General features: G+C 39.2%; 1 protein-coding gene across 4 annotated transcripts in view; it reads left to right on the forward strand.

The window, feature by feature from the left end:
• The window catches only part of IL23R (interleukin 23 receptor), a 127,267-nt gene that overhangs the window by 113,657 nt on the left and 1,530 nt on the right, over positions 1–12,080 (forward strand). For 3 of the 4 annotated variants that reach the window (XM_011540790.4, XM_011540791.4, NM_144701.3), the window contains exons 10-11: positions 3,544–3,634; positions 6,185–7,686. In XM_011540790.4, the coding sequence (XP_011539092.1) occupies positions 3,544–3,634; positions 6,185–6,835 (742 nt within the window). In that variant the 3' untranslated portion in view covers positions 6,836–7,686. Of the gene's footprint in view, positions 1–3,543; positions 3,635–6,184; positions 7,687–12,080 lie in introns of those variants that run through there. The other variant, XM_047447227.1, reaches the window with a different exon arrangement.

The raw sequence follows: 12,080 nt of genomic DNA on the forward strand, positions 1-12,080 counted from the left end.
TGAATTTCCAAATGCCAAATTTTACAACCCCTGCAATACTACCATTTACTACCAGTTTCTTTCTGACCTAGTCAAATCTAAGAGGCCTCTAATTGGATCCTAGCCTGTTAATTACTGATCAAATCCAATCCTGGACCCAGTCCAGTTTCTGTTGTGACTTCTGAACCCAGTTTGGAACAGGAATTTGCTCAAAGAAACTTGGAGAGTTCAAAACACAAATCTGTGGAGCTCTGAAATCCAAAAGAGAACTTGCCATGATCCCCAGCCACTCTGAGAGATCAAAGGACACAAGTAGGTCCAACAGGTTCCTTGCTTGTTCACTCAGTGCTCCTGGGGGTCGTTAGAAGGTCTAATTCATATCCCGCTTCTGACACCATCTAGTAAAAGAAAAACTTCAGCCAATTTAAAGGAGTTTAATTGAGCAATGAACAATTTGGGAATTTGGCAGCAGAATCACAGCAGATTCAGAGAAACTCTAGGGATGCCTTGTGGTCAGAACAAATTTATAGACAAAAAAAAAAAAAAAGAGAGAAGTGACATACAGAAATTGGCAGTGATGTACAGAAACAGCTGGTTGGTTACAGGTTGGCATTTGTCTTATTTGAACACAGTTTGAACATTTAGCAGTCTATGAGTGGTTGAAGTATGGTCCACTGGGATTGGCCAAGACTCAGTTACTGTTACAGGCACATACTCCTAAGTCAGGTTTTCACTCTTGTCTGCCTGTTAAGTTAGGTTACAGTTCATCCACAGGGATTCAAATATAGAGGTATGAAGTCCTTCTCAGGCCATATTTAGTTTGCTTTAACACTTGAATTCCACCCAAACAAATCAGCTTGAATCAGTGTGAAGGGAAGTGTGACAATTTTTAAATTTGTCAATTCCTTACCAATTGTTTTAGTGTTTTAGCATTCAGCCCCAAAGTCCCTTACTCTTGGCCCCCTTCAGTTTTTTCCCTCCTGTGATGGTATTAGTAAAGATCTATGGTTAGTTATTTAAAATGAGACTTTGAGAAAAGCAAGACCCTTGGATTTCTAAATTTTACTGATGCATTGAGTATTTCTAAGCTGCTCGATAGATTAGAGTTGTTTGGTGTGGCAGTTCCCCAGTGTGTCCAGTTGCTCACAAATTTTGACTTGAATGTTCTTTGCCGAATTGGCACTGAGTTTCTCCTTCTTGCCATCATTTGCTTCATGAAATAATCTTTCTTTCGTTTACATTTATAATCAAGTGCAGTAGAAAGATTTTAAATGAGCTATTATAAAGTCTACTAATGATTTCTTATCTACATAGGTTTTTTGCTCAGAACTTAATATTTCAAAATTTAAATTACACATTAATAAACATATTCCTAATACCCTTGTAAGGAAGGCAAACTAATACGGAATTTTATTTGAGGCTGTTTTAAAATATACTTGATTATGAAGTCCCTTGAAATATTTTAATGTTCAAATTAATACCCCATAAAAAAATCAATATTTGTGTTATTATTTAAACATGCCCTAGTGTAAAAGTTTAAGTAACACTAAGTTCATAACTAAGAATAGCCTAAAAACTAATTTTCAGTTCATAACAAGGAATTAGGGCAATTCTTTGCTCATTTAATTATTTAAATAAGTACTCTTTTTAAAAAGATAAAACAAGACATAATTCCAATATATTTATTTTACATTTGAACAGATACTTTTATTTAATACAACTATTCATTATCTATAAAAGCCTTAGTTCTGAAACAGAAGTGAGCAACAGAAAGCAAAATATTTTATTTATTTATTTATTTATTATTATTTTTTGAGACAGAGTCTCGCTCTATCATCCATACTGGAGTGCAGTGGTGCAATCTCGGCTCACTGCAACCTCCATCTCCTGGGTTCAAGTGATTCTCATGCCTCAGCCTCCCAAGTAGCTAGGAATACAGGCACACACCACCATTTCCAACTAATTTTTATATTTTTGGTGGAGACGGGATTTCACCATGTTGGCCAGGCTGCTCTTGAGCTCTTGGCCTCAAGTGATCTGCCTGTCTTTGCCTCCCAAAGTGTTGGGATTACAGGTGTGAGCCAACATGCCCGGCCCAAAACATTTTAAATATAATAAAACCAAAAGTGGGTAAATATATATACATATATATATATATATTCTCACTGTATCAGTGTACTGTATAAAAACTTTACTCCAATAGCCTGAATTTACTAATTTGGTCTAATTTTAAATACAGAAGAGAGTGTGAATTAGTAAACAAAACAACAACAAAAAAAATGGAATCATAAAACATTGTATAAAGATGAGTAAAGAAATAATATTTACCCTAAAGTCCAAGGTCAAATTGGGCTAGCAAAGTTCACTCAGCCATTTTGGTTGTTATTTAGTACAGGTCCTTTGAGAACCAATTTAAACAAATAAGTCTGATCCGTTGCTAACAGGATCCATTGTTAATATGTAAAAAGGTGTCTGAGATCAGTTTAGTCTCTTCTAAGTTCTTGGTACAACCTTTCTGCCCAAACCAATTTGTACTGTCAATGCAGAGAGTGTTTTTAAACACAATGGCAGTGCTAATAGATAGCTTGGGGGAAAAAGTGGGATGTTTATGACTTCTACCTTTTCTTTCCAAAGCCCCACCCCACTGATCCTTAAAATAAGCACATGGTCTAGGTAGAAACCAGTTCTCACTATGCCACACAACTGCAAGACATGTTCCCCAGCCTCCTTCTCCATCCGCATCAAGAAAGTTTGGAGCTGTCACCATCATTACAACCCTATTTGAAATAATTACAAAATCTAGACTCAGAACAGCCTAAATTTTAGGGCTTTATTATATAACATTCTCTTTTTAAATATGCGGTAGTTACGGTCACCTTGGAAAGTTCTACAAAATATCCCTTAAGTTTTTTGAACTTTCCCACATGGGAATCTTCTGGTTATGAGAGTTTGCTCTATTTAATATGTGTACGGTTTCACTGCTAGGGTGGTTCTCCCACTTATCTTGAATCTAGTGTGAGTGTTTTGAAATGTTTCTGCTCATTGAAAAGAAGCAGAGCAATAGAGATGAGAGGAAAATCTGAAAAGATAATGACACAATTTCCCACTTAATTTTCATTAAGTAAGAGATGAAAACTTTAGCCTCGGCATCAGGAAGTTTGATTTCTTTAATTAATTTTTTTTTTGAGTCAGGGTCTCACTCTGTTGCCCAGAGTGAGTGCAGTGGCATGGTCACAGCTCACTACAGCCTTGACCTCCCAGGCTCAAGCGATCTTTCCACCTCAGCCTCCCAAGTAGCTGGGACCACAGGCATGCACCACCACACCCAGCTAATTTTTTAATATTCTGTAGAGACAGGGTCTTGCTATGTTGCCCAGGCTGGTCTCGAACTCCTGGACTCAAGCAATCCTCCCACCTCAGCCTCCCAAAGTGCTGGGATTACAGGCATGAGCCACTGTGCCCGACCTAGGAAATTTGATTTTTAATATACATTTTATTCTAGTTGACTTCCTAATCTCCTATATGATTGCCTGCTTCTTCTAACGTGTCATTTTTGTTTTTTAGGATTAAAAGAAGGATCTTATTGTTAATACCAAAGTGGCTTTATGAAGATATTCCTAATATGAAAAACAGCAATGTTGTGAAAATGCTACAGGTAACCTAACATCATCCAACAAAAACTGAGTGGCAATTGAGACCAAGAGTGCAGTCTAATAATTAGAATAGAATTTCCATTCAAATAAATAAATGTGCACACATATTAACATAATTATATAGACATGTGTAAAGACAAAACTGTACCTGTTTCAAATCATACTTAAAAGAGATGAGACAATAGAGTTGGGGGAAAGAAAACAGAGAAGAAATAAAGAAACAAACCTGTTCAAAAGAGAAAAGTGAAGTGGAAGATTGTGGGCCTTGTGCACGAGTCACCTGGTGACCAAACAATGGTAGATGTCTTCAGGAACAAAGGGAGTAGGGAAGAAAAGCTCAATGAAATGAGCCTCAAAGATTCAAAGGGCTTCTGTTTCACATGAGATGGAGAGCCAGGTGGAGCCCAAGAAGGGCATCATTTTACTCTTTAAACCCAGTGGAATTTGAGAAAAGCAATGTGAGAGAACTGTGAACAATAGTGTCACAGGGGTGGGCTAGGTTTCCATTCTGGCAAAGAGAAGGCCACACACCAGGAAGCCCCTGAGGGTACAGGGACATTACTGATTATAAAGGAGGGAAGGAACAAGCTATGTGTGTTCCTGATAACCCCTGGCCCTCGGGATTGGCTGTCAAGGGGCTCAAAACCCAGTCCAAGGGACAAACACATCATCCAAGCCTTGCAATGCAGTGATGTAAGTGCAATGATAGAAATGAGCCCAAACATGTGATGGGAGTGGAAAGGAAACACTGAAAGGAGAGGAGCTGCTCAGGAGAAGCAGGGAGAATTCAAAGTCAGGGGGACCCCTGGGGGTTAGAACTGCATGTTGGGTAAGAAGATGAGGTGTTTGTAAAACAAATAGAAGTGGCTCTGTTTCAAGCTCTGGTAAGCCTATTAGCTAACTCTTTCCCCAACCTCATGTCATCTGAACAAAGGGTTTCTAGGCTAAAAATAAAATACTTTTTAAAAGTTCAAAAACAACTGGTCAACAGAATAGAGTCTGAGTTCTGTAACACAAGACTTCTGTGATCTGATCCACTCACCATTCCAGCTTTACTCCAGCCACTCCTCACGTCAAGATTTTTGATGAAGCAATACCCAATGTGCTGTTCTTACCCAAACCTGGCAAGCTCCCTAAGGAGGCTGGGGCTGAAGAAAATTGGAATGACACTTCATGTCTGTTTATTCAAGATCTCCTTCTTTGCTAAACTCCTTTCCTATTCTGGGCTCCTGGAATTAGAGGCAAACCTTAGGGCTTCCCTCAGATAAGGTTTTGTTTTCTGCCCGAGAGACTAAGGAATGCTTAGTCGGCTTGGGTGGCTTAAACAACAAACATTTATTTGTCACAGTGCTGGAGGCTGGGAAGTCCATGATCAAGGAGCCAGTCAATTCACTTGCTAGTGAGGGCTGTCTTGTGGACAGCTGCCTTCTCACATGGCAGAGGAAGAGATCATCTCTTTCCTGTCTCTTCTTCACTAATCCCATTCATGAAGGCTCCGCCCTCATGACCTAATTACCACCCAAAGTCTCCACTTTCAAATAACATCACATTGGCTTCAATGTGAGGGGGGCTGGGGAGAGGGCACACAAACGTTTAGTCCGTAACAGGGGGCTATAATATTATAATTGTGTTGGGTGACAGTTTGCCCAGGAAGGCCAGCCATCTGTTGGAAGGCCTCCAGTCCATTTATTGCCCAGAAAAGTCATCAGGCTAAAACCTTCACCCACCCTCCTTATCATCACAAACATGTCTGAATTGTGAGTAGCTTTATTTATTTATTTGTTGTTTTTTGTTTTGAGACAGAGTCTTGCTCTGTCACCCAGGCTAGAGTGCAGTGGCATGATCTCAGCTCACTGCAACCTCCGCCTCCCGGGCTCAAGCAATTCTCCTGTCTCAGCCTCCTGAGTAGCTGGGATTACAGGCTTGCGCTACTACGCCTGGCTGATTTTTGTATTTTTAGTAGAGACAGGGTTTCACCATGTTGGCCAGGCTGGTCTTGAACTCCTGATCTCAAGTGATCTGCCTGCCTTGGCCTCAAAGTGCTGGGATTACAGGCCTTATCCACCTTTAGAACCTCGGCATCAAGCATTTGTCACACACTCATTCTCGGTATGTGAGCAAAATAGGATTCTCCCCAACCTTTTTTTATTTAAGCAACAAAGTATTTTCTTGTAACAAGAAATATTAATATTAATATTCTTGCCTCAGAAGACCAACTTTTAAAAGGCCCTAAAATTAAGTAATAAGTAATAAGTTAATATATAAGACTCAACTTTTCTCTTTAAAACTTTTAAACCAAGAAATGTGCTTAAGAAGTGGATTATTTTTACTATTCCTTTTCTTCAGTCTTCTCATGCAAATTTAATAAAGATTTGGAAGCAAGCAGGATAACAAAAGACAAAAGGAGGAAATCATATGGGAAGATAAACAATATGAGAAAATGGAGGGAGAAAGGAAAGTTGAAAGAAAGCAAAATTCCTATCCTCATTCAATTATCCAGTTGGTTCTTTTAAATGTCTTTTGCAAAATAAAATGATGTCTTTTTTTCCTAGGAAAATAGTGAACTTATGAATAATAATTCCAGTGAGCAGGTCCTATATGTTGATCCCATGATTACAGAGATAAAAGAAATCTTCATCCCAGAACACAAGCCTACAGACTACAAGAAGGAGAATACAGGACCCCTGGAGACAAGAGACTACCCGCAAAACTCGCTATTCGACAATACTACAGTTGTATATATTCCTGATCTCAACACTGGATATAAACCCCAAATTTCAAATTTTCTGCCTGAGGGAAGCCATCTCAGCAATAATAATGAAATTACTTCCTTAACACTTAAACCACCAGTTGATTCCTTAGACTCAGGAAATAATCCCAGGTTACAAAAGCATCCTAATTTTGCTTTTTCTGTTTCAAGTGTGAATTCACTAAGCAACACAATATTTCTTGGAGAATTAAGCCTCATATTAAATCAAGGAGAATGCAGTTCTCCTGACATACAAAACTCAGTAGAGGAGGAAACCACCATGCTTTTGGAAAATGATTCACCCAGTGAAACTATTCCAGAACAGACCCTGCTTCCTGATGAATTTGTCTCCTGTTTGGGGATCGTGAATGAGGAGTTGCCATCTATTAATACTTATTTTCCACAAAATATTTTGGAAAGCCACTTCAATAGGATTTCACTCTTGGAAAAGTAGAGCTGTGTGGTCAAAATCAATATGAGAAAGCTGCCTTGCAATCTGAACTTGGGTTTTCCCTGCAATAGAAATTGAATTCTGCCTCTTTTTGAAAAAAATGTATTCACATACAAATCTTCACATGGACACATGTTTTCATTTCCCTTGGATAAATACCTAGGTAGGGGATTGCTGGGCCATATGATAAGCATATGTTTCAGTTCTACCAATCTTGTTTCCAGAGTAGTGACATTTCTGTGCTCCTACCATCACCATGTAAGAATTCCCGGGAGCTCCATGCCTTTTTAATTTTAGCCATTCTTCTGCCTCATTTCTTAAAATTAGAGAATTAAGGTCCCGAAGGTGGAACATGCTTCATGGTCACACATACAGGCACAAAAACAGCATTATGTGGACGCCTCATGTATTTTTTATAGAGTCAACTATTTCCTCTTTATTTTCCCTCATTGAAAGATGCAAAACAGCTCTCTATTGTGTACAGAAAGGGTAAATAATGCAAAATACCTGGTAGTAAAATAAATGCTGAAAATTTTCCTTTAAAATAGAATCATTAGGCCAGGCGTGGTGGCTCATGCTTGTAATCCCAGCACTTTGGTAGGCTGAGGTAGGTGGATCACCTGAGGTCAGGAGTTCGAGTCCAGCCTGGCCAATATGCTGAAACCCTGTCTCTACTAAAATTACAAAAATTAGCCGGCCATGGTGGCAGGTGCTTGTAATCCCAGCTACTTGGGAGGCTGAGGCAGGAGAATCACTTGAACCAGGAAGGCAGAGGTTGCACTGAGCTGAGATTGTGCCACTGCACTCCAGCCTGGGCAACAAGAGCAAAACTCTGTCTGGAAAAAAAAAAAAAAAAAAAAAAAAAGAATAACTAATACTTGCTTGCAAAGGGAGAGGCAAGTTTAATTTTCATTTTATCACTTAAAATTCTCTTGAGTAGATAAAAATATAGCCCCAAATGACAAAATAAGTGAAGAATAGAAACAGAAGAGAAGTTAGTCGTTTGCTGTATTATTTTTTTCCCCTACTCTCCAGGTATTAGGGATTTGATCTTAGTGTGATTTGGGACTAACAGCGCTGTGAAACAATAATGTGTGGAATCATGGGTTGCTGTCTTCACTTAAGTCAAGAGTGATGGCCTTGTTTTCCTGTGGCATAGTTGGGATATTATTTATACTATAATAGAACCTATGAGAGGTAACAGATGCAGGATCAGCAAGACGTAATTTTTTGTTTACAAACCAGATATATGTTAGAAAATTATTGTTAAAACAGGTATCTGTTCAGTACCTGTTTTGATGGCAAATACTTGCTGAACCTACCATTGCCCCATATCCCATGTCTCCTGCAGATATCACCAGCCAATCAGAACAGGCCTTTCTACTGAGCTGTACAAGTGCCCTCAGAAGCCTCCCAAGCAGTGTTCCTTATGGCCACAATCCATAAGGACTGGAGTAGGAGATTAAATCTATCTACCAATGATGTCAATATGGAAAAGTGGTTGATCTTTAAAAATGAAATACATATTTTAAGCTGAGAAATGTTACCCAGCAGACTATTGTGATTAATATTTATGGGCAAGGACAACTTTTCTGAATGATCAGAACAGTTTAAAATAGGGTAGAGTAGGGCATGTAAATTCATGCCTATAGTCCTAGCTACTCAGGAGGCTGAGGCGGAAGGAACACTTGAGCCCAAGAGTTAGACACTGCAGTGCGCTATGATCAATGATCATGTGCCAGAGCAAGACCCCGTCTCTAAAAAATAAATAAATATTCGTTCATTCATTCATTAAAATAGGTAGATTACACACTGAATTTCTTTTTCTCCTCCAACAGTTGTCAATTTATACTCATATTTAGTCATTTAATTTTATTATGAAAAATCAAGCAGTTAATTTTAAAAAGACTCATTGCTTACTATGTCTTTAGCAAATGAGCAGGCTATTTTGTTTTACTTTTTTTTTTTTTGATAAAAATCTAAAAGCAATTTTATGGTCATTAAGTATCCTTGAAATGAGGTTGACTGTATATCCCAGTTTGCCCTGGTTTCTGTCCATTGTCCTATTGTTAATTATGACCAATAACTGCCCTCATTCACTCTCAGAAGCATCCCTTATTTGGATAATAAATCATATGGTCACTCAAGACTACTTAATGTCCAGCATGTAAGTAATTCATCAGAAATTTATCTTTTTTTTTTTTTTTGCACTGACAATCCTCTTTATTTTACTTTTTATCATTTACTAAGGCCATTTTGCTCCAAAAGGGTATTACTATTCATACTGTAAAAAAAAGTATCCCCTGATACTTTTACATAGTGTAAAAAAAAAAAAAAGTTATCCCCCAGATAAACTCTATTCTGTTTATCCTAAAATATGTATATATTTTTTGTACTTTGCATATTCTGAAAGGAATATATTTTAAATCACTAATGAAATGCTAATCTTAAATACCTTGACTTGTAAATTGCCGTATGCCTTTGCTTGATTCTTTTGCAAAAGGAGAATCATAAAGTAGCCAAGAAGGAGGTAGCATTTGAGATTGAAATAACAAAAGACTAAGATAAATCTTTGATGTTTGCAAACCTGATGAAGACGTCTGGTAACATGTGAAGAATATTTTTATAGTACGTTTCACCATAATTGTAATCTATCACACATGAAAAAAGCTTTTATCAAGCTTAAAGGATTACAGCATTGTTTGATCTTCTGCAAATGTTTCCACTGCAGCGAGTGCCTCCTTTTCGCCCCCTAGAGTGGGAAGGAAGCTGCTTTCTCATTCTGTGGTGTCTTAACCCACATCACTATTCAGCACAAAGGAGACACTTCTGATTCTGTCTTTGCCATTAGCCCTTGTTGGTCCCAATGGACTAGAAATTGAGGCTATACCTGCAATGGGAGCAATGTACCTGCCTTTGTCCCAACTCAGGGGAAAAATTCAAGCTGCTTTATCACAATGCAAACTTCGCGGGGGAGAAAGGGTTTCTTTCTATAATTCTTGTATTCAAGAAGGATTCATTGAACTACTGAATGTCCTTACTGTTATATGTGCAAGGCCATTTGAAGGATATGGATTTAACAAAACCAGTCAATCCCTGCAGGCTTGGGGCTTATATCCTAGGGGGAAGAGACAGACAGTAAATTAGGACAAGTCATTGCCCCCAAGGAGCTTACATTTTAGTAGGGGAAGAGGCCAGAGGTAGGGGGTGGAGAGAGGCAGAAAAAAATAAAGGAAAATGTCAGATAATAAGTGCTGTCTAGAGAGGTAAAATGGGATAATGTGGTGGATAGCAAATCGGTGGCCACTTTACACTGGGTGGTCAGGAAAGACCACTCCCAGGAAGTGATACTGATGTTCATCTGAGTCTCAGGTAAGAGCCAGCTTGCCACTGACAAATCCTTCTATAGAGAAAGCCTTGAGTGGCTAATGTCTTTACTTCTTTCCCTCCCGTACAACTTGCCACTGATTATCTTCCACCCTGACCACTCCCCACCTCCCATCTTAACCTTCTTAAGCCAGAATTTTCTGCAGATTCTGAGGACAAGTGCATACCTATTCATCTTTCTATCTAGCTCTTGTGTCTATTATTAACTTTCTTTCTCTGAGTCTCACAATCTTTTAAGTCGCTGATTCCTAAAGGGGCATGTCCTGCTTCTTGGTATGGGTAAAGGGGAAGGAAGAAGAGAGAAAAAGCCTCTCAAGGTATCAATCAGAGGGAGGAAGGGAAGAGAAATACAAAGAAAGGCAGGTTGATACTTAGGAATGCTGAAGCAAAATGGAGTGTCATAGTTCTGGACAACACTAATGCTGACTAAGGAATATCGTTTCCTCCTGCTCTAGTATCTTTCTCTCCCTCTCCCTCCCTTTTCTTACATAAAAACCAAGGAGGAGGTGCAAGTCAAGTACAGTTTAGGGATGTTTGCTTGGTACGTGTGCAGGTGTGTACGTGTGTGTGCGTGTGTGTGTTTAATTGGAATTTCTTTCCTTTTTTTTTTTTTTTTTTTTAACAGGTCACCCAGGCTGGTGCACAATCACAGCTCACCACAGCCTCAACCTCCCAGGCCCAAGCAATTCCCCTATCCCAGCCTCCTGAGTAGCAAGTGCACATCACCATACCCAGCTATATTTTAAATTTTTTGTAGAGACAGAGTCTCATCATTTTGCCCAGGCCTGGACTCAAACTCCTGGGCTCAAGCAATCCTTCCACCTTGGCCTCTCAAAGTACTGGGAATTATAGGCATGAACCACTGCACCCAGACTAAAATTAGGATTTCTTTTTAGTTATAAATAGTATTGAAGAGAGGCTTATGAGTTTTTAAGGTGTGGTTTTCAGGTAATGTGGGTTGCTGTTTGGCCTTCCAGTGTGTTCCCTTGAGTGGCTAATTCTTATATTTAGTCATTCTCCCTTTGACATAGAGACAGCACATGACTATGGCATTGAGCAAAAGTTTTCAAAAATTAATTTTAGCAATTGATTCTCTTTCTCCAAATGCAATCTGTTGGCTAGGCACAGTGGCTCACGCCTGTAATTTCAACACTTTGGGAGGCTGAGGTGGGCAGATCACTTGAGGTCTGGAGTTTGAGACCAGCCTGGCCAACATGATGCAACCCAATCTCGACTAAAAATACAAAACTTATCTGGGCATGGCGGTGCCTAACCCAGGAGGTGGAGGTTGCAGTGAGCCAAGATTGTGCCACTGCACTCCAGCCTAGGCAACAGAGCGAGACTCCATCGCAAAAAAAAAAAAAAGCAATCTGTTGTAGAATCCTTAAATGTAAAACGGATGAAAGCAAATCTCCTGTTGAAACAGACCTTGGAGGTCATACCTGTGCCCTCTGCTTCTCCCTCTCTCTTCTCCGCCCTTGCCTCTGAAGCAACATGAAAAGCTGAGGCTAGGAGCTGTGCTCTTCTATACTTAGGAGACTGGGATGCTGGACCAACCTTGAGAAGCCTGTGCTTTAGAACTGAACCTTACTCTGCACTTTAGCCACAGGCTATCAACGCAGGCTCAGGGGACCAAAACCAAACCTTCCTATACTGAGATTAATGACTGCAAAAAGGGCTTTCTCTCAGAGGCTGCTAATAGAGGCAGTTCTATTCACAATAATTAACTTGCTTCTCCCAATTACTTTACCATAAATGTCTGGGCTTTGTTCAAGTTTATGTTCTTTTTAAGATCACTAAGAATAAAATACTGTGTTGTGAACATAATTAGATTTTATAAACCCAAAGACTCTGGAATTAT

This window comes from Homo sapiens, chromosome 1 (assembly GCF_000001405.40).
Source record: "Homo sapiens chromosome 1, GRCh38.p14 Primary Assembly".
Lineage (NCBI taxonomy): Eukaryota > Metazoa > Chordata > Mammalia > Primates > Hominidae > Homo > Homo sapiens.